This window comes from Homo sapiens, chromosome 6 (assembly GCF_000001405.40).
Source record: "Homo sapiens chromosome 6, GRCh38.p14 Primary Assembly".
NCBI lineage: Eukaryota > Metazoa > Chordata > Mammalia > Primates > Hominidae > Homo > Homo sapiens.
The window spans coordinates 65,355,870-65,380,587 of NC_000006.12; the positions used below are offsets into that span (position 1 = coordinate 65,355,870).

General features: G+C 34.5%; 1 protein-coding gene across 4 annotated transcripts in view, besides 1 other annotated feature; it reads right to left on the bottom strand.

Annotated features, from left to right (window-relative positions):
* The window catches only part of EYS (eyes shut homolog), a 1,987,247-nt gene that overhangs the window by 1,635,890 nt on the left and 326,639 nt on the right, over nucleotides 1-24,718 (bottom strand). The window lies entirely within an intron of this gene.
* Nucleotides 13,942-14,111: an enhancer, noted in NCBI's record as "experimental_92568 CRE fragment used in MPRA reporter constructs". NCBI's record gives its function as "activates a minimal promoter by MPRAs in K562 erythroleukemia cells, with activity observed for the non-introgressed 6:66079789 variant allele {active_cell/tissue: K562}" and the evidence as "EXISTENCE:reporter gene assay evidence [ECO:0000049][PMID:34662402]".

Below are 24,718 nucleotides of genomic sequence, written 5' to 3' on the forward strand. Positions count from 1 at the left end.
CTGCTGATAGGAATGTAAATTAGTACAACCACTGTGGAAAATCGTATGGGAATTTCTCAGAGAACTAAAAACAGAAATGTGATTTGATCCAGCAATTGCACTACCGGATATCTGCGCAAAGGAAAAGAAATCATTATATAAAAGAGATACCAGCACAAGTATGCTTAGATTCATTATTCATGATACCAAAAATGTGGGATCAATCTAAGTGTCCACCAATTGATGACTAGATAAAGAAAATTGTTTATACACACATACACATACATATACATACACACAATGGAATACTATTTAGCAATAACAAAGAATAAAATCATGTCTTCTGCGGCAAAAAAATAACAAAACAGCAACAACAAAAACTAAGTTCGAATTAAGTCCTGTCTAAGGTATTTTGTTTTGTCTGCAATTGTTTTTGTTCTTGTTTGTTTGTTTTTTAAACTAAGAATATCAGAGGAAGTTGGATCAAGGATACGAATCCCTGTTTCTGCCACTCAGGAGCTAAGGAACCATTTAAAAATGAGACATTAAGTATTCTGTAACAACCTTGAGAGAGATGAGCTGATAAGGAGCAATGAGAGATGCCAGGAAAAATGACACAAATAATATGAATCCCTGCTCACAGGGGTGCTGTGGTATTCTTCCTACTACTTTAACCTGAAGACCAAATTTGACTTCTGGCTTTTCTTAATGAAAAAAACAAAGTCACCCAGGATATATTTCAATGGGTGCCTGAACAATTTATCTGTACTTATACCCTTCTATACTGAATAAGGACACTATGAAGATATTATAACTTTAGATAAAATTTGGATTTAGAGGGAGTTATTTGTGATTGCAGCTCTTAATACCTTTTTAAAATTATTGCAACACCAGTACATTATCCTCTAACATAACAACCTGAATGTTAAGAGCAGTTAATTTAAAAGAGCAATTTATTTAAGCCATATGTAGAGGCTAGGAGTGTTGTCATATAGGTCTATCTCTGATTCTGACCTCTCATTTATACCTTGTGTGTTCATGTGAGGATGCTGACACACACACACATTTCACAGCACCAACATGAAAATAGATGTACAATATAACTTTTAAAGCAAGTTAATATAAGTAAAGTATGATGGTGAGATGGAAGAGTGGAAGCACTTTTTGCATAAAACATTTAACTTAATGGCCTTTGGGAGGAATTAGATGCATCACCGCTGTATTACAACTGAGCCATTAATCTTGAAGCTTCATCAGTATTAACTTGGTTCACTTTCATCATGTTGTTGAGAGGCTCATCATTTCTGTAGAGGTTCAACAGAAAAGCCTTCTGAGCAGTGTACAAGTTCTTTTTGTATATTTACAAAAGCTTTATTCAGTTTGTTAACTTCTTAATCATTCATAATGTTTATCTTCTTAAGAAGATTAGTGGTAACTGGTGTTGCTTTGATTTTAGTCTTAAAGTGTTTTTTGGCTTGCTATATGAAATACATTCCTGGCCTTTGCTCTCTTAATTTGTTCTTGTCCATCGTCTATAATACGCATGTGCACCTTCTTAAGCTTCAAGTGATGCAATCTATTGAGTGAATAAACTAAATGTTTGTCTTTAAATTGCTCTGACCTTTCTAGAAGCCAAGGGAAAAGGGGAAACATTAAAATATACCACAGCTGTTTTTATTGATTAATTTTATACTGGTAGATTCATTTTGGTTTATTGGATGAACCAGATTTCCAGTTGATATTCCTAAGGAACAATTGTTATATGGTGGATAATATAAAACAAATGACAATACTTTGGTAATACTATTATGAAAAAATATTTATTATATAGACCAGGAGTCTGCAAAGTATTCTCTTAAGTACTATGTTTTACAAGTAAGATGATTTTTAACTAAATCAACTTCCTGTTTTTGAGTATGAAGTTCAAAAATGCTGCCAATAAAAGAAAAGTAATTATTTCAAATTCACAGTGAAATGGCGACTAATGTAATGCTCATTGCTTGCTAAAACACTATTTTTTTTCGTTTTTGTAAACTTAAATAAAAAGACAATTAAGTGAGTCAAACGTTATTTGTATGACCAGATAGGTGTCTTTGTGGAATTCAGTTATTTTAATGTGACCTCTCTTTTAAAATGAAGTTAACTTTCAGTAGAATGATGACCTTCTCTGTTAAGATATCTTAAGTTTCACAGCGACCTCAGGTACTACGGTAATATTAACTTTGGCCCATCAATCTTATTTAGAACAAAAGAGATTAAAAATTAGTTAGTTTACATGGAAGTGTTCACTTAGTTTGATTTTTTAAATTTATTTAAATTAATATTTGGAACTGATGCTTTAAAATAATCCCATTTTAAATACTATTTCCCATTTAATTCATAGATTAGGTGACAAATATTTAACAGAAAATTTTCTGTGGTCTGGGAATTTATATCAAAATTTATACACTTCAAACTTTACCTCTGAAATAGAAGTATGATTATCTTCATTTAAATAAGTTCACTTATTATGGTATGGCGAATTTAAGGTGATCAACTTAACTGTTTGCCTGGGACTTTCTGTTTTTAAAAGCTAAAAGTCTTATGTCTACTGAACTACTCATTCCTAGGCAAACTGGGATGGTTTCTTTTCCTAAGCGTTGATTATAAACTCAAAGCTTTATTTCTGAAATTAAGGAGGATGAGTAGTAGAGCTGTATTTGGCATGCCATGAGAGAGAGAAATGATCCTCTGTTGCTGTAGGTTTCTGAAGTGTGTGTGTGTGTGTGTGTGTGTGTGTGTGTGTGTGTGTTGGGAGAAGGGGGGATTTAGTTACCATAGAAAAACCCAACTTAACATGCTTATCAGAAGTTTCCTCCACCTATAGGTGAGACTAAACTCATTATCAAATATATTAAATTAGACCTTATACTATAAAATGTATAGCTCATATTTCTATAAGAAAATAAAAATTACATTAATTGCAGTAAACAATAGGTGTTTATAAGTTGCTAATAACAATATACATGAAAAATAGCAATGTGTTAATCTATCCTGTACTTGACAGCCCACTCGATGTATAAAAACTGAAAAGAGGAATCAATTCAGCATTTGATCTATTTCTTCTTTTAGTGAGTTGAATGCCAAGGTTTGGAAATACACAAACATGCCTTTGGAAGCAAACATCTATCTTACTTTTGACAGTGAACTAATTAAATGGTACATATTAGACAACTAAACTTGAACTGACTTTGAACCTCAATAAGCTTGTGAGAGGAGTAATTCTGGTAAGCAAACAGTGAAATTAAGACAAAGATGAAATGGTTTCACAATGACAGTAAAAAGAAACAAGAGAATCAAGAAATTGTCTATAAAAAGGAAAGTAATCTATTTCTTGTATCTCATGTCACATCAGAAATAAGCAAATTTTGCAGTATCAAAGTTTTGTGATTTTTATTTGATTGACACAAAATACATATTCATAACAATTTTATAACCTTAACCAACTGATTTGTCATTTCATGTGCCAAATATATTCAATGTTGCTTTCCTTAAGGCTTTTCTATTTTATAAGGGAAAACTAATTTTGATTGCTAGTATGAAGAGGATTTTAAAACAACTTTAGATGCTGATTTCTTATTTCAGCAGCAACCTTTCTTAGGAAAGATAATGATTTCCATTAGAAATCTTGCTTTTCATGATGTATTAAGCATTGTAAACTTCTCTTTCTTAAAGAAACTATATCATGAAATTATGGCATATACCTAGAATTACAGCATCTATATTCCCTGGTGATTCTATTTATATTTATTTAAAGCATTTGCTAGTTTTTAGAAACCATACAGAAAAATGAAAAGAAATTCCTTCATATAGGCAGATATTAATAGTGGGAAAACCTCACCTCTCTCTCTTTCTCTTTTTTCTTAGTATTTGTATATGTGGCCATTTTACCACATATGTGAATTCATTGTTCAAATGGGTTCAAAAGCATTAACTCATTCTATTCATTTCATCATTTTTTTCAGTAGCCTGGATAGAATATTTGTATATTCATTTCCATACTTCAGATAAGGAAATAAAAATTATAGAATTTTTTTCAACTCACACACCTCAATTCTCACAGGTCTAAGACATAAAACCTTTATACTTAGGTTTCAAATCTCATCAATTGTTACTTTATTTTAAAATTTATTCTCTATTCCCCAATAAAAATATTTTCAATGGAAGTTTTAATTGACACATAAGAACTATTATTGTTAAAAATTGGAAGTATATAACCTTATAATTCTGATGTTTTATTGTTTTTATGACGCCACCTTCTTGCTTTGACATCACTTATTCACTTATCCTTCTGAAGTTTAAGTACTAATAAATTATTAACAGATTATTTCTAAAATATCTTATTCTATCCAATTTAAAGAAATGTAATGATCTTTCAAAAAGCAATGATGAATTTACATAAATTAATGTTCAATTTCCACTCATAGTCAAAACCTTCTATGGAAAATTAATAAAGTAAAATCAATAGTAATTATATTATTTAAATAAAAAAATTAGCATTATTATTCCTCTAGCTCTTCTAGGTAGCACCTAAATTTAGGAACTGTATCCAAAAAACATAGAATAATGCAAAATGAAAAACAAAGCTGGCCTATTTTGGCTCTCTGGGGACCAAGGGAAATCTGATTTTAACAGAAAATTCTCAAGTAGTTTGGGAAATTATATAAGATCATTTTCTGGTCTCCTATTATTACTTTAACATTTTTCCATAAATCACAGTAGTTGCTGACAACTCCGTGACCATACTATATTCTAGAGAAATGTGAAAATTCAACAAATATTTTCTGAAATATAACTCTTCTCCAACTGTTATGCTAAAAAGAGACAAAAAGTTTAAATTACGGCATCCTTGCTCTCACTGAGCTCACAGTCTAATGTGTGTTTACAGTCATTCCAAGAAATCCCATTTAGTGTAGTCACTGCTATGTAGAAAGACAGTATTGCAAACAATGGGAACAGAAAGGAAGAAGTAGTCGACATAATCACAAATGTTGTGAGGTAGTTTCATTCTGGATGAAGGCATGTATTGGGATAGACATGAAATAGGAAATGCAATCTTTTCCATATTTCCATCTATATTTCTACATATAAAATTGTGACTGGAGTTCAAGGAATGGTAGGTGACCATAAATTATTGAATATCTGTACTTTTACCCAAGGTATTATAATTAATTTCTAAATTTCCTTTAGAAATACCATCATTCTCAGCAAACTATCGCAAGGACAAAAAAACAAACACCGCATGTTCTCACTCATAGGTGGGAATTGTACAATGAGAACACATGAACACAGGAAGGGGAACATCACACACCGGGGCCTGTTGTGAGGTGGGGAGTGGGGGAGGAAGGATAGCATTTGGAGGTATACTTAATGTTAAATGACGAGTTACTGGGTGCAGCACACCAACATGGCACATGTATACATATGTAACTAACCTGCACGTTGTGAACATGTACCCTAAAACTTAAAGTATAATAAAAAAAAAGAAATACTCATATATGGATATGTGAATGATCAATTTAATTTAATGACTTGTGAGGTGACTGACAGGAATTTCTTTCTCTTTTTTTTTCTTTCCTTCCTTCTTTCGTTCGTTCGTTCCTTTTTTTTTTGGTCTGTGTCTCTCTCTATCGCCCAGGCTGGAATGCAGTAGTGCTATCTCTGCCCACTGCAACAACCTCCACCTCCTGGGCTCAAGTCATCTGCCCATGTCAGCCTCCTGAGTAGCTGGGACTGCAGACATGCACCACCATGACTGGCTATTTACATATTTTGTAGAAATGGGGTTTTGCTATGTTGCTCAGGTTGGTCTCCAGCTCATGAGGTCAAGTGATCTGTCCATTTCAGCCTCCCAACATGCTGGGATTACAGGCATGCACCACCATGCTCATCCTGAAAGTAATTTCTTAGACTACAGTGATTCATTATCTAATGTTTCCCTCCAAAAATAACACAGATAACACAAAGCAAAACAACTAAAGCCTCTTATTTTCTAATTATGAGAAAATGACTGAAGAAATTGAGCAAATACTGGAATTTTTCATGATTGTGAAGAAATGTACACTATTCTAAAACACATACGAGTAACTAATTTATTATTCACAATCTGTAGTATCTCATAAAAGTGCACCATAGCTAATGGCCAGAGAACCTGTTCTTCCCATATTTTCATTTATTTCCTTTTAAAGATTTCTTTGATTTTCAAAAGTATTACTACAAGAACAAAAATGTGGCTACCTAATTCATCACCAAGTATTTGATTTTCTCATTTTAAGACATGATAATCACTATTATTCAAGATCACTTCTTTATTCAATAGGTATTTATTGTAAGTATGCTCTGGGGAGTTATTAACCACATATGGCACAAATAAAGTAAAAGAATGAAATTGTCCCAGTTCTCTTAGATATAACTTTAAAATGAACACAAATAAACAAATGAAAATCTCACAATTCCTAAAGGCAATACATTCTAGAACATCGTTACTCCAAGATGCTGCAAGTTGAGTATGTCATTTAAACACACATAGATATATTTTACTATTTGGGAGTAAAGTAAAATTGACATATATGTATTTATGTGCATGTGTATATATATGTGTGTGCGTGTTTGTATAAATGTATATACACATGCATATACATTACATATATGCATATATGTATGTATACACATTACACATTATTATATATATACATATATGTACGTATACATTTATATATATGCCTATATATGTAATGTATATGCATGTGTATATATGTAATATTTTTACTACAAGTGCTTAAAGATTTTCTTCTTAGGAGACAGTTTCTTCCCCTTCTTAAATATATACATTTTCTTTAAAAATTTCTACATTAGTATTTTATATCACTGTAGACAAAGTGTAATATTCTCCAGTGCTATACTGTTCTCTGATTCTGATGTATTTATTTTTTCTCAAGGACTTTCATTTTTAAACTTTATAAATACAGTGTCTCTTATTAAACTCTTATCATTGCTTTAAATTCAAAAAAAGAAAATTAGAAAAGTTATGGGAAATCTTTAGAGAATGAAATCACCCTTTTCTTTTCAACAGGAAAGCAAGCAGTCTCAAAGAACCATGAAAATGATCTGATTGCATTTAGTCCTAAATCAACTTTCAGCTGCTGAGGTAAAAATGCCTTTGCCATGACATTACACCTTTGTAGTTGTCTCTCACATACTACATAGACTTGCATGCCAAATGTCATTCAACTTCAGGAATGAATGTGATCATCAGGGCTACAAAAGAAGATAAATGATTATCTTACTCATTTAAAATGATATTAAAACTCTTTTTTTTTGCAGTTAAATCTTCCTTTTGCTCTTATAGGCTACATAACATCTATTTATTTCATTCTTCTATCAAACAAATGACTGTAGAAAACCAAAATCCCTATTTTCCTTTCCCAGCTAATTGCTAATGCAAACTTCTTATAATAGTGGCATAATATTAAATAAACAATCAATTAAGCAATTAAATATATAGCTTTAGGTTCAAGATAACCAACATTGACTCTACTCATTTTTTGTTACAGTTATATTTAATCATTTCAGAAGAAAAATAACTCCTTTAAGTATATGTCATTTTGTTTCCACAACATTGTAAATGTTATGATTGATGTTGTTTTTCATGGCGTAGACAGACATACTTGATAACGTTGCCATCTCAGGAAGAGTACATCTTTAACAGGCTAAAAGTGACTTTAATATTCTTTTTAATTTTCATAATTAGTTAAAAACTTTGATAATTGACGATTTAACTCTTTTAATACAAGTCAAGTTTATTTAGTAGCATTTATTTAGATAACTTCAATCTATCAGTAGTTTGCATTTTGTAATTTAACTAAAACTTAGATTAAATATATGTGTCACATATTTTTTCCAATTGTAGAAGTGTATGTGAACTAAATTTTCCCTCAAAATACCTTATTATAATTTTTTAATATCATTTTTGTATAATCAAATTTTACCCCACTGATTTCAGTTTATAAATTCAGAAAATGACTTTAAATATATTCTTGCATTTGATTTTCTCTATTTTAATTTAATTATCTTTTTTATTGTGCTACAATAATATCTTAATTATTGGGGCTTTATAATTAATTTTTTCACCTGGTATTCCAAGTACTTCTTTGGTATTTTTTCAAAGTTTCCCTATATATTTTTAAATTTGTTTTTCCAAATAAACTCTTGGATGTTTTTTCTTAAATATCCCTTATATGTAAATTATTAAATAACATCTGATACATCACATCATTTGATTTTGTCTTTGTGAATTTTTGAAACTGTAGGGTAATATGATTTTTCTCAGGCTTTGACTAAAAAATAAAATCAACTAAATGTTTTTTTTTTCAATTTTTTTTCAATTTATGGTAGAACATTGATTAGAACATTTCCTTCCATAAGAAGTAGTAAATAATCAACCTCAGAATTGTATTAGTCATTACATAGGAAACAGTTACAGATATACTAGAGTAATAATACAGAAATACAAAATGAATAAAACTTTAAAATATGATAACCTTGCATGAGTTGAAAAAAATTTTTTCAAATAGTCCACTCATTACAGATATGCACTTCAGATATGTTTTAATTCATGGTCCTCATAAAAGAGATCAAATTGGACTATATTAAAAATATTAAGACTTCTTATGATATCCTTCTCTTTAGGTTTGATTCTAGGTAATTTTATAATTATTTCAGATATTTCTTATATCTACCTTTTATATCAGGCATTTTAACGAGATAGTTCAGGGACAATGTTCTCTCCTGGGTTAATTTGGGTACTTTTAAAGTTCAGCTCCTTCTCCCCGGATGACACCATGGAGCTCTCAACATCTTTACTTAAAGAGATAGGATACATGTATTAAAAACAAGTACTTGGCCAATTAGAATATTATGGAGTTAGAAGAGAGGCAGCTAAATTTTTAAAAAATGAAATGTGTTTCTTCAGATTTCTATATTCATTATTCAAATGCGAAAAGTAACTTTTTCTTTGGATGAAAATCTCAGTGATAGTGTGTGTCAAACATTTTTGGTACAATTGCATAATTAAACTCTCCACCTCATTTTAAGGAGGTCTGGTCATCTGCATACTGTCAAAAGGATTTTTTTGTGAGTTGAGATAGATTGCTTAAAAAAGTCATCCTAACTCTGAAGAGCAGCTGGAAAAATAAACAGTCAGGACTTCAGCCAACTATCAATCTAGGGAAACTTGGTAACCAACAAAGAATGAATAAATTCCTTTCTCTGTTCTTATAGCAGAAGTAAGAATAGTCAAGAACTGACCTATATTTGCTGATAGTAAGCTTATCCAAAATACAATAGCAACAACCAACAAAAAACTCACTCATATTTTTCCAGGACCTAGGAGGATTCCTGTTTTGGCCCTCCATCTGCCTGCCTTCTTACGCCTGAAAAATTTTCTGCCTGATCCCAGGTTTAGATTGGAAATGATTATGAAGAACTGAGCAAAAGATAGAAAATATTAACCTGTGGATCTCTGTCTCCATCTCCTGTATCTCCCCCTGTGTGAGTGCGTATGTGTGGTCAGTCCCTCCTCAGTAATAGGTGGACACTATTTTCAAATCTGAACTTTCAGAAATTGATGTTAGGTTTCTCTTTTATTTTGTTTGCAATTAAAGTTAAGATATATATCTCATTGAGTGACTATTACAAAGCCTAAGGTAAGATCATGGCCTGTCTTCCTCAACATTGTGTGCCTGGAGTTGAGTTTCCACAATGTAATGTTTTTGATATTCTTTCAATGAGCTGTACTAGTTACATAGCACTAAGAGATTACAAAAGAATTAGAGAGAGATTTTCCTGAAAGACAAGTGACTAAAGATTTCACCAAAACTTACTGAGGCTAAACAAAAGTTACTTAGTCCATGGGCCTCTTGTAATACCCGTGATTACATCTGCAATCAGAATGTTGGCTGTCTAGTAAATTATGTATGATTCTCACTTTGTAATGTGGATTGCCTTATTTTTTAAATCAGTGTTTCTGTTGACTTTTGAGTACAAGGTGAAAACATGACTTTGCAATTGTTATAGATAACATAAGAATCATGTAGATACCAATTTCTAAACATTAGATGTTCATATTGGGAAGAATACCAGTTAGTGCCTTTTGTGTAAACCAGACCTAGTTTAATGCCTGTTACTCCAGCCAAGCAACTGTTCGGACCCTTTTTCCTTCTCAAATGTGTCCTAGTATGAATGATAAATTAGTAAAGTATGTACACATGCAGGATATGGCATTAGCACGGGCTATTCCTGTCTGCGTTAGAAATGGGACAGCAAAATGTTACAAGCCAAGATCTCATTTGTGAAAGTCTGCAGTTTCACTAAGCAGTTGACAAATGGATCTGCTAAACGTGCCAACCATGTCAAGGTAAATGCAGAATTTTAACTAATGAAAGTTAAATCCATTTGTTCTGAGATATGCAACTAACTAAACATCTTGCTGCTTTTGGTTTTTCCTGATCTACACTCAATCCACTTGTATCAGTTGGTTCAGATGGATCTAAAAGCTAAGACTAAAAATGACTGCTAAGAATAAATCTTGATTGACTTCTTTTGTGTATTTTATATACATTTTTAGAGAGGACCTATCACCATATTTACATTCAAATTTATGTGTTCAGTTAGAGAGCTTCTTTAATGATTTTCAGCTAGCAAGTTTACTTTGGTGTAAATTTTAAAATAAAATTTCTTGAAGCCTTTGTGGATTTGCTTTCTATTACTACTGTAATGAAACACTACAGATGCAGTGGCATAAAACAACATTTATTCTCTAACATTTCCGGAGGTCGGAAATCTGGAATCAGTCTTATTAATGTAAAGTCAAGGTGTCAGCAAGACTGGATTCTTCTGCAGGTTCTGAGGGGGAAATCTGTTTCTTTATCTTTTTCTCAGCTTCTATTGGTAGCCTATATTATTTGGCTTGTACCTTCCTTCCTTCAGCTTTAAAAAATAACACTCCAATCTCTGCTTTGTTATCATATCACCTTCTCTGTCTCTGATTCTGTATGCAACTTTTTAATAAGGACCTCTGTGATTATATCAGGCCCCATCTGATAATCAGGATAATCTCTTTATCTCAAGATACTTATCTTCAACGTATCTGCAAAGTCCTTTTTGCCATGTTAGATAACATCCATAGGTTATGGGGATTAGGACACAGAGGACACAGGGGAAAATTTGGGTACCATTATTCAGCCCAGCATACTCTGGATGCTCAGAAACTGTTGAAGAAAGTTTACGTTCTGGTTTCTTTCCCAAATATTTGTGAAACTCCTTCTAAAGTACTGAGCTTTACCATATGTACAGATAGAATGGCTCTAAATCCTGTTAATAAGCATCTTGGTAGAAGAGCTGCTATCTTGAGGATCCAAAACATAATATGAAATAGATTCACATAAATAACCTGACCTTATTTTGTTTTTCTTTCACAAATGATTTATTCTTAACCATAGCAGGCGAATTTTTAAATAATAAAACTTGTTAAAAAAAGTTTTTTTCAATTATTTTTCCTGTTTCAGCACTAGTAAAGACATAGTGACATTCTCAATTTCTCTAAGACATTTAAAATGTCTATATGTTTCCTTTAAATATAAATGTTTTAACTATTCACAAGCATTGCACTAATTTGAATGAATTAATCTATCACTTCTTATAGTTGTTTTAATTTATTTTATCACTTACAAAAGTTCCGCTGAAAAAAAGCGAGATACAAGATAAGCTTGCAACTCCTTTGGTGCTTACTCTTGTAAATGAATAATAGCATAAAAATCAAATATAAAAGTGTGAGAGAAGAAGCTTATGAATTCATTATTAGAGGTCTCCCTTAAACATTTCTTACTCTATAGCTAATATCAATTATTATAGCCAATCAACAGAAAACATGTGGATTTATAAAGTACTTCTCATTGGAAATTAGTCAATTTACATATCATGCATGTAAAGGTAACATTGGCATAGCAGTAATTCCTGAGCATTTCTGTATTAGTCCATTCTCATACTGCTAATAAAGACATACCTGAGACTGGGTAATTTATAAGGGATAGAGATTTAATTGCCTCACAGTTCAGCATGGGTGGGAAAGCCTCAGGAAACTTACAATCATGGCAAAAGGGGAAGCAAATATGTCCTTTTTCACATGGCAGCAGGAAGGAGAAGTGCTGAGCAAAAGGGCAAAAAAGCTCCTTAAAAAAAACCATCAGATATTGTGAGAACTCACTCACTATCAGAAGAACAGCAGCATGGGGGTAACCGCCCCCATGATTCAATTACCTCCCACTGGTTCCCTCCCATAACACATGGGGATTATGGGAACTACAAGTCAAGATGAGATTTGGGTAGGGACACAGAAAAACCATGTTAATTTTTATTTTTGTCCTAGATCTATTAAGATACTGGTAAATTTCCTGTACATCAAATCCTTCACACATAATGGAAGTTATGTGGTAACTTTGATTTCTATTAATCTTCTCAGTTGAACACATCTGAAGCTTTATTATTGTTTGCTGCCTAGGAAAGAACAAGCCAAAAGGGCCCAGATAATACTATTTAAGGTTGACCAAAAATAAAGTTTCTACCACTTTGAATGACTAACAATTTTATGGCAATAAAACCACATGAGAATGACTTAAACATGAATCCTGTGAAAGATGCTTCTTACGTTATTTGAAAAAATTCTTCCAAGTAAAAGCACATTGTTGTTTGCTTATTTAAAATATGAGAGTAATTTAAATTATTAAAATATATCATAGAACTAGAAAAACAGTAACACATGCACATGAACAATATTTAAAAGTGAACAGCTAGTTTGAGGATGCTGCTCTCTTTCAAGTAGTACTTTAAGCATAAGCCAACTTCCCTCCCAAGAGTCAGTACAAGTACAGGATAAACTACTCAATTAATGAAGTTCTTTCAGAGAGCCATTGAGAAATATGTCCACGAAAGAGAGAGATGAGAGGAGATGTAAGGCATAGAACAGGACATGAATGAAATGGATCATGATCGTATGGTATTATTGAAGCTACATCAGAGCAATTCAGTGGCTATTTGATTTTGTTATTTTATGCTTAATACATCTGGGATCCTACCTCTTTCTCCCCGTTTTCTTAAAAATGAAGTGGAGCAAGCTCTCTGTTATTATCACACAAGTTCATTCTACTTAACAAAACTCTTTCAAATTTTTCACCTACATGACTAATAATATACATAGAGGAAAAAAATCAAGCAAATTTAATGTAAGCAAGCATTTCAGAAGGAAGAACTGAAAAGCAAAGTTTGTGACCAAGCAGTACATATATATATATATACACATTTGTGACCAAGCAGTGTGTGTGTGTATATATATATTTATATATATTATATATATATTTATGTATAATATATATATTATATATATATATTTATATATATATATATCTCATTCTGAACCAAAAGTGCTTAGTCTGTTCCAACAAAGCAAGAAAATAACAAGAAAACAATTTGTCCTAACCAATTATGTGCATCTAACTGTCAGACGCAATGCCCACATGAACCAGAAAAAGATTTCCCAATCTGGAATCTATCTCCTGTTATTATGGTCTGCTAGTCTGAAACAGTTTTTCTTTTGTAAGTCTGGGGTTCTCTAACTTTCATAAAGTTGTATGCATTTGATCTTTCCTTTTTTCTTACTATTTTCCACTTTCTGCAACCTAAACTTCCTCTAAGGAAGAATTTTTCAACCACAACGATATTGGCATTTTGGACTCAATATTGCTTTATTGTAGGAAACTCTCCTGTGCACTGTAGGATCCTTAGCAGCAAACTTGGCTTCTATAGCCAAACGCCAGTAGCAGCCCTGATCTCTACTTGTGACAACTAAAAATGTCTTTAGACATTGCCACATATTACCTAAGGGGCAAAATCACACTTGGTTCCTTCAGGGATCTTCCTGATTCTGACTCTAACTATTCCTTTTCAAAGATGTCTGCGACTCTCAGCACAAATTATGGCACTGACAACCCAGTCCCTAAGTGTGAAGAAACTGTCTCCGAAGACTGATAAATAATGAATATATTGGTGTGTTTATTTGGTTTGGGGTACAATCAGAAGATATCTTTCACAGATTAAAATGTAATTGGTAAGGTGATAGATGGTCACAGTATTTCTGTTTAATTCAGGCTTTAGTAGATCAGCATAGCATGAATTTCAGATTTTGCAATTTTGTGTATATTTGAATACTAATATTTTGAGTGTCATAACATACTTAGCTTACGCAATGCCTCTTCTTTCTTTCTTTCCCTCCCTCCATTTCTTTCTTTCTTTCCTTTCTATTTCTTTCTTTCTCTCTCTTTTTTTTTTTTTTTTGAAACAGGATCTTACTCTATTACCCCAGGATGAAGTGCAGTAGCACAACCATAGCTCACTGCAGTCTTAATTCCTGGGCTCAAAGTGATTATCCTACTCCAGCTTCCCAAGTAGCCAGGACTATGGATGCGTGCCACCAGATCACACTAATTAAAAAAAAAAAATAGAAATTGCATCTCATGATGTATTCCAGGCTGGTCTCGAACTCCTGGCCTCAAGCCATCCTTCTATCTCAGTCTCTTTGTTAGTTTGGATTACAGGCCTGGCTGTAACGCTTCTTTCTTTGACCGACTTTTATATTTTTTGACATAAAACCATAATGCAAATTTTTTTTATGTATCACTTAATTTTTCCCACCTTGCAACAAATGCATCTTTTCCCATGTTCTATGTATTGCTATAAAATGTAATCTGGCTTTCCAGGCTTGGTCAATTTAGCTCTGACTATCTCATTACTAAGAAAGAGTTCTCCTGCTCAGTTTCTATAGTCTGCGCACTTCCTATAAGGGAGTCCCTCCAAATAGGGTTCCACCAACTACATTTGGCATAATTTGCCTTTAGGGCAATTTTTCTGCCTTCCCTGGAAGAAAGTTAGTACCATATAAAGAAACAAATATATCTTTCTTCATAGAGATTACATTTCAGCCTAATCTAGTCTTCTAGTCAATAAAAATAATGTTTGAAGAACTATGTTGTAAACTGGGAAGCCAGATGGCAATAATTGTCAAGAAAAAAAAAACACAGAAAGTGGAGATGACACATATGGGCTGGATGAGAGTATGGGAGTGTGGCTGGTTCTCCTTCTCCATGAGTTCTGCATCCATGGATTCAACCAACTGTGGCTGAAAATATTTTTTAAGACAAATGATGGTGGCCTCTGTATGAAACACACAGACTCCTTTTTCTTGTCATTATTCCTTTCAAAATACAGTATAACAACATAGCATTTACTTTGTGTTAGGTATTACAAGTAATCTATAGATAATGTAAAGTATATGGGAGGATGTAGACTGGTTATATGAAAACACTATGTCCTTTTATATAAGAGACTGGAGCATCCATGAAGTATCCAAGTGGGTGGAGGTCCCTAGTACCAACACTCCACGGATACCTAGGGAGGACTGTATATAACATTTTAGATTGGGTTTCTACAGAAGGACAAACCGAGGATGTAACATTTGAGAAAATACCTACACAGAATGAAGAAACTGATGAATAATAAATGTGGGTGAAAATTTGGGTGTAAATGCTCACAAAAAAGGCCTCAAGCAGGAATATGCCTGAGTTCTTATGGGAACTTCCAGGATGATATCAATGTTATTGTAGAGCAAACCAGGAGAAGTATGATAATATTGAGCCTCTGGTTAAAAGCTTACCTGCTTTCCTCTCTGCAAAGTTTAATTATGTGAGCCTTCAAATTCCTCTCTCTCTCTCTCCCTCTCTCTCTCTCTCTCTCTCTCTCTCTCTCTCTGTGTGTGTGTGTGTGTGTGTGTGTGTGTGTGTGTGTAATGGGGGAAGTGGGGACAAGGAGAGAGGGACAGACAGAATGAGAGAGAGAGACAGAGACAGAGAGAGATTTTCTTTAGATTTTCAATTGTTGCAACTAAAATTTAAAACTTTTAATCCTACCCGAATGCAAATTGTACTCATATGGAATTCTAATTCGAGCTTTACTTCTTCCAGCGTGAGTTTACATAAGTCACTCTTGTTGAGGATAATTGTAAAAAAAAAAAAAAGCAAAACTGATTTAACTGGAGGATAGAAATAGAAGACAGAAATAAAGCAGATGGTGAAGTTAAAGTAGATTAGTTTTAAATTTTGTGTTTTTTTCTTTGTTCTCTAATGAAGCCTTATAGGAGATTTAAAAAAAATAAGATAAAACATAAACAGAATCCTTATATATACACTTCTGAGCCAGTTGCAAAAGAAGAGAATCAAAGGAGCTTTGTATAAAGCTCCGATGCTATTTTCTTTGATATAACAAACAACACTCGATAACTTTAAGTCATAACATTAGGAAGTTATACAATATTTGAATAGACACAAACCAGAAAGTGCATTTCTAACTATATGTATTAAAATAAAATAAATGAAAATAAATGTGTCAGTAAATTACTGAAACTCTAAGGAAAAGAATGCCTGAATCATTGCAGTAAGGCATAATAAATAGTATTTAATTGCATAGTACCTGTATTTTACAATTATAATGTGCATAATATCAAACATTTTTAAATGTATTGGATGCCATTTATTTATATAAACATGAAAATAACTATAGGATTTTTTTTTGCCATGAGCTCTTAATCTCTTCAATAGTTTATACATATGTGGTGGTGATTAGAAACCTAACACTCTCAATTGTAAAGCAACAATTGTTTTATCATTGAGGCCATTTATATTATTAATATTGAGAATGCAATTGACATTGTGAATGTGCTTGATTAGATATTCCTCATCACAATTTCAATAAGGAAGTTCGCCATCCTTATGCCACTTCAATTATAAAGAAAATGAATTGAAAATAGAGAAATTTAACTCATAATGAAGAGCATGACTTAGAATTAATAAGGTTCTGACCTACAGGGTTTTTTTATCTCCTCATATTTTCCAGCCTATTTTATTAATATCAGCTTCCTAATCTTAATGTTACTATGAAGAATGCTTTATTCTTCATAAAATTTCATTAAATGCATATTAAAAAAGAAATATATTTTTGTTCTCTTTTTAATTTTAGTCTAATCCCATTAACAAGAGTAAACCACTATTAAATTTGTTGGTTTATTTTCTTATAGCTTATTTAATACACATCTGCACAAATACAAATTTCATCCTGGCCCAACTGGCCATCAAAACTCTGATTAAACTTGGTCTTAAGTTAAATCCTCATACTAACAGAGCCACTCTGTGAATTCCAAATCCATTCTTCCACATGTTTCTCTTTGGATCCTTGCTTCGGTGTCCCTGTCTGTTTCAATTTATCCCTGGGCCAGGTAGGTCACAGGCTTTGGAAATTTTAATGTTTCCATCAAACCAAATCAAATATGCTAAGAAAATTTCATGTTAAATGCTAAATGAGAATGGGGATGGATGACATCAAATACCACATCACCTTTTGCCATCTAAATGGCTCCCCTCCCTTATGCTTTCTGCTGCTTGGGAAAGCCTCTGCTCCTGATATATAATATTTTCTAGTGTCTGTAACACTCTGGGAGGTAAAATCAATTTCTGAGGGAGCAGTCCTGGAATGACTTCTAACATTTTCAGCACCTCAGAAAACACATAAAAATTAATTTTTTACAAGTGGATAAATACATACAAATATCTAAAACCAAATAATAGAATGATACAGGTGCTTTTCACAAAACATTTTAACTTGAGCATTTTCAATATGATTAATAACCTTCAAAAACAAGGCCAAATGGATTCATCTTTTATTATATGGATACACTATACTTTTTAATATTCTTGTTGTTTAATTTGATTAATTTTCCTTTACAATAAATAATATTATAATGAACATTTTATATGCATGTTTTATATAATCTTTTAAATTTACTTTAGATATTTCTAGATACTGAATTATTACCGGTTGAAAAATTTCAGGCACATACTGCTGAACTGCCATTCAGTGGACTTATTACAAGTCATATTTTCCCTGGATACATGTGAACATACTGTCTCAATTTTCCTTTGTGATACAGAAATATAAACTGCGTATGCTTTTATGTTCTGTGATATGAAAATATCAAATGATATCTTCATAGTGCCTTAAATAATATTTCATTAATTTTTTGACAGTTTGGATTACCAACTGTAGTAAGATGGCTGAATAGGAACAGCTCCACTCTGCAGCTCTCAGCAAGACTAACACAGAAGGCAGGTGATTTCTAATTTCTGTATTTCCAACTGAGGTACCCTGTTCATCTCATTGGGACTGGTTAGGCAGTGAGTGCGGCCCACCAAGGGTGAGCAGAAGCAGGGTGGGGCATTGCCTCACCTAGGAAGTGTGAGTTTACATAAGGGGTCAGGGACCTCCCTACCCTAGCTAAGGGAAGCCATGAGGGTTTGTGCCATGAGGGACTGGGCTATCTGGCCCAGATACTACACTTTTCCCATGGTTTTTGCAATCCGCAGACCAGGAGATTCCCTCGTGTGTCTACATTCCCCGGGCCCTGGGTTTCAAGCACAAAACTGGGAGGCTGTTGGGGCAGACACTGAGCTACCTGCGGAGTTTTTTTTTTTTTCGTACCCCACTGATACCTGGAACTCCAGTGAAAGAGAACCATTTACTCCCCTGGAAAGTGGGCTGAAGCCAGGGAGCAAAGCGGTCTGGCTCAGCTGGTCCCACTCCCTTAAGTCCAGCAAGCTAAGAACCACTGGCTTGAAATTCTCACTGCCATCACAGCAGTCTGAAGTCGACCTGGGATCATCAAACTTGGTGGGGATGGGGTATCCGCCTTTACTGAGGCTTGAGTAGGAGAGTTTCCCCTGACCCTTCTAAAGACTGGGCGGAACGCATCACAGCACAGCAAAGCTGCTATAGCCAGACTGCCTTGCTAGATTCCTCTTCACTGGGTAGGGCATCTCCGAAAGAAAGGCAGCTGCCCCAGTCAGGGGATTATAAATAAAACTCCCACCTCCCTAGGACAGAGAACCTGGGGGAAGGGCCGGCTGTGGTCGCAGCTTCAGTGGACTTAAGCATTCCTGCCTGTCAGCTCTGAAAAGAGCAGTGGATCTCCCAGCACAGCGCTCCAGCTCTGCTAAGGGATAGACTGCCTCCTCAAGTGGGTTCCCTGACCCCTGTGCCTCCTGACTGTGAGAGACCTCCCAACAGAGGTCGACAGACACCTCGTATGGGAGAGCTCTGGCTGGCATCTGGTGGGTGCCCCTCTGGGACGAAGCTTCCAGAGGAGGGAACAGGCAGCAATCTTTTCTGTTCTTCAGCCTCTGCTGGTGATACCCAAGCAAACAGGGTCTGCAGTGGACCTCCAGCAAACTGCAGCAGACCTGCAGAAGAGGGGCCTGACCATCAGAAGAAAAACCAACAAACAGCAAGCAATAACATCAAAGTCAATAAAAAGGATCCCCACACACAGAAACCCCATCAAAAGGTCATCAGCCTCAAAGGTCAAAGGTAGATAAATCCATGGAGATGAGGAAAAACCAGCAAAACAATGCTGAAAATTCCAAAAACCAGAATGCTTCTTCTCCTCCAAATGATCACGACTCCTCTCCAGCAAGGGCACAAAACTGGACAGAGAATGAGTTTGATGAACTGACAGAAGTAGGCTTCAGAAAGTGGGTAATAACAAACTCCTCTGAGCTAAAGGAAGCAATGCAAGGAAGCTAAGAACCTTGACAAAAGGATACAGGAATTGCTAACTAGAATAACCAGTTTAGAGAAGAACATAAATGACCGGATGGAGCTGAAAAACACAGCATGAGAACTTTGTGAAGCATACACAAGTATCAATAGCTGAGTTGCTCAAGCAGAAGAAAGGATATCAGAGATTGAAGATCAACTTAATGAAATAAAGCGTGAAGACAAGATTACAACAAACAGAATGAAAAAGAACGAACAAAGCCTCAAAGAAATATGGGACCATATGGGAAGACCAAAGGTATGATTGACTGGGGTCCCTTAAAGTCATGGGGAGAATGGAAGCAAGTTGGAAAACACTTCAGGATATTATCCAGGAGAACTTCCCCAACCTAGCAAGACAGGCCAGCATTCAAATCCAGAAATACAGAGAATGCCACTAAGATACTCCTTGAGAATAGCAACCCCAAGACAAATAATTCTCAGATTCTCCAAGGTTGAAACAAAGGAAAAAATGTTAAGGGCAGCCAGAGAGAAAGTTCAGATTACCTACAAAGGGTAGCCCATCAGATTAACAGTGGGTCTCTCTGCACAAACCCTACAAGCCAGAAAAGAGTGGTGCCCAATAGTCAACAATCTTAAAGAAAAGATTTTGCAAACCAGAATTTCATATCCAGCCAAACTAAGTTTCATAAGTGGAGGAGAAATAAAATCCTTTACAGACAAGCAAACGCTGAAGGATTTTGTGACCACCAGGCTTGACTTACAAGAACTCCTGAAGGGAGTACTAAATATAGAAAGGAAAAACTGATACCAGCCACTGCAAAAACATACTAAAATATAAAGACCAACGAAACTAAGAAGAAACTGCATCAACTAATGTGCAAAATGACCAGCTAGCATCATAATGACAGGATCAAATTCACACATACCAATATTAACATTAAATGTAAATGGGCTAAATGCCCCAATTCAAAGACACAGAATGGCAAGTTGGATAGAGTCAAGACCCATTGGTGCACTGCATTCAGAAGACCCATCTCATACGCAAAGACATGTATAGGCTCAAAATAAAGGGATGGAGGACTATTTACCAACAAATGGAAAGCAAAAAAAGCAGGGGTTGCAGTCCTAGTCTCTGATAAAACAGACGTTAAACCAAGAAATATCAAAAAAGACAAAGAAGGGCATTACATAATGGTAAAGGGATCAATGCAACAAGAAGAGCTAATTATCCTAAATATATATGCACCCAATACAAAAGTGCCCAGATTCATAAAAATAAATTCTTAGAGGCCTACAAAGAGACGTAGACTCCCTCACAGTAATAGTGGGAGACTTTAACACTCCACTGTCAATATTAGACAGATCAATGAGACAGAAAATTAACAAGGATATTCAGGACTTGAACTCACCTCTGGACCAAGCAGCCCTAGTAGATATCTACAGAACTGTCCACATCAAATCAACAGAATATACATTTTTATCAGCATCACATAGCACTTACTCTAAAATCAACCACATAATTGGAAGTAAAACACTCCTCAACAAATGCAAAAGAATGGATGCAAATGTAAAAAAACAGCCTCTTAGACCACAGTGTAATCAAATTAAAACTCAGGATTAAGAAAGTTACTCAAAACCACACAATTTTGTGGAAACTGAACAACTTGCTCCTCAATGACTCTTGGGTAAGTAACAAAAATAAGGCAGAAACAACAAAGTTCTTTGAAACCAATGAAAACAGACAACGTACCAGAATCTCTGGGAGAGAGCTAAAGCACTATTTACAGGGAAATTTATAGCACCAGATGCCCACATCAGAAAGCAGGAAAGATCTAAAATTGACACCCTAACATCACAATTAAAAGAAATAGAGAAGCAAGAGCAAACAAATTCAAAAGCTAGCAGAAGACAAGAAATAAGTAAGATCAGAGCAGAACCGAAGGAGATAAAGGCATGAAAAACCCTTCAAAAAATCATTGAATCAAGGAGCTGTTCTTTTGAAAAGATTAAAAAAATAGATAGACCACTAGCCAGTCTAAAAAAGGAGAAAAGAGAGAAAAATCAAACAGACACAATAAAAAATGATAAAGGGGATATCAACACCGATCCCACAGAAATAAAAACTACCAACAGAGAATACTATAAGCACCTCTATGCAAAAACAAAACAAAACAAAAACTAGAAAATCTAGAAGAAATGGATAAATTCCTGGACATATACATCCTCCCAGGAGGAAGAAAATCCGTAACTAAACCACGAAGAAGTCAAATCGTGAATAGACCAATAAAAAGTTCTGAAATTGAGGCATTAATTAATACCCTACCAACCAAAAAAAGCCAAGGACCAGACGAATTCACAGCTGAATTCTACCAGAGGTACAAATAGGAGCTGGGACCATTCCTTCTGAAACTATTCTAAACAATAGATAGACAAATGCGATCTAATTAAACTAAAGAGCTTCTGCACAGCAAAGGAAACTATCATCAGAGTGAACAGGCAACCTGCAGAATGGGAGAAAAGTTCTGCAATCTATCCATCTGACAAAGGGCTAATATCCAGAATGTACAAAGAACTTAAACAAATTTACAAGACAAAAACAATCAACCTCATCAAAAAGTGTGTGAAGGATATGAACAGGCACTTCTCCAAAAGAAGACATTTATGCAGTCAACAAACATATGAAAAAAAGCTCATCATCACTGGTCATTAGAGAAATGCAAATCAAAACTACAATGAGATACCATCTCATGGCAGTTATAATGACGATCATTAAATGTCAGGAATCAACAGATGCTGGAGAGGATGTGGAGAAATAGGAACGCTTTTACACTGTTGGTGGGAGTGTAAATTAGTTCAATCATTGTAGAAGACAGTGTGGCGATTCCTCAAGGATCTGGAACTAGAAATAACATTTGACCCAGCAATCCCATTACTGGGTATATATCCAAAGGATTATAATTCATTCTACTATAAAGACACATGCACACAAAAGTTTATTGTGGCACTGTTCACAATAGCAAAGACTTGGAACCAACCCAAATGCCCATCAATGATAGACTGGATAAAGAAAATGTGGCAAATATACACCATGGAATACTATGCATTCATAAAAAAGGATGAGTTAATGTTCTTTGCAGGGACATGGATGAAGATGGAAACCATCATTCTCAGCAAACTAACACAGGAACATAATACCGAACACCACATGTTCTCACTCATAAGTGGGAGTTGAACAATGAGAACACATGGAGACAGGGAGGGGAACATCACACACCGGGGCCTGTCAGGGGGTGGGGGACTAGTGGAGGGATAACATTAGGAGAAATATATAATGTAGATGACAGGTTGATGGGTGCAGCAAAACACCATGTCACATGTATACTTATGTAACAAACCTGCACATTCTGCACATGTACCCCAGAATTTAATGTACAATAATAAAAAAGATAAACAAGAAAAAATAAATAAATAAAATAAAACAGAAAAAAAAGAGAGGGACTCCTCCCTAACTCATTTTATGAGTCCAGCATCATCCTGATTCCAAAACCTGGAAGAGACACAATGAGAAAATAAAATTTCAGGCCAATATCACTGATGAACTTCGACGTGAAAATCCTCAATAAAATACTGGCAAATGGAATCCAGCAGCACATCAAAAAGCTTATCCACCACGACCAATTTGGCTTTATCCATGGGATGCAAAGATAGTTCAACATATGCAAATCAATAAACACAATCCATCACATAAACAGAACCAATGACAAAAGCCACATGATTATCCCAATAGATGCAGAAAAGGCCTTCGACGAAATTCAACACCGCTTCATGCTAAAAACTCTCAATAAACTAGGTGTTGGTGGAACATATATCAAAATAATAAGGGCTATTTATGACAAACCCATAGCCAATATCATATTGAATGGGCAAAAGCTGAAAGCATTCCCTTTGAAAACCGACACAAGACAAGGATGCCCTCTCTCACCACTCCTGTTCAACATAATGTTGGAAGTTCTGGCTAGAGCAATCAAGCAAGAGAAAGAAATAAAGGGTATTCAAATAGGAAGAGAGAAAGTCAAGTTGTGTCTGTTTGCAGAATACATGATTGTATATTTAGAAAACCCCATCGTCTCAGTCCAACAACTCCTTAAGCTGATATGCAACTTCAGCAAAGTCTCAGGATACAATATCAATGTGCAAAAATCACAAGCATTCCTATACACCATTAACAGACAAGCAGAGAGGCAAATTATGAGTGAACTCCCATTGAGAATTGCTACAAAGAGAATAAAATACCTAGGAATACAATTTACAAGAGATGTGAAGGACCTCTTCAAGGAGAACTACAAACCACTGCTCAAGGAAATAAGAGATGACACAAACAAATGGAAAAAAACATTCCATGCTCATGGACAGGAAAAATCAATATTGTGAAAATGGCCATACTGCCCAAAGAAATTTATAGATTCAATGCTATTCCCATCAATCTTCCATCGACTTTCTTCACAGAACTAGAAAAAAATACTTTAAATTTCATATGCAACAAAAAAAAGGCCATATTTCCAAGACAGTCCTAAGCAAAAAGAACAAAGCTGGAGGCATCATGCTACCTAACTTCAAACTATACTGCAAGGCTACACAGTAACCAAAACAGCATGGTACTGGCATCAAAATAGATATATAGACCAATGGAACACAACAAAGGATTCAGAAGTAACACCACACATCTACAAGCATCTGAGCTTTGACAAACATGACAAAAACAAGCAATGGGGAAAGAATTCCCTATTTAATAAATGGTTTTGGGAAAACTGGCTAGCCATATGCAGAAAACTGAAACTGGACCTCTTCCTTACACCTTATACAAAAATTAACTAAAGGTGGATTAAAGACGTAAATGTAAAATTTAAAACCATAAAAACCCTAGAAGAAAACCTAGGCAATACCATTCAGGACATAGGCATGGGCAAGTACTTCATGACTAAAACACCAA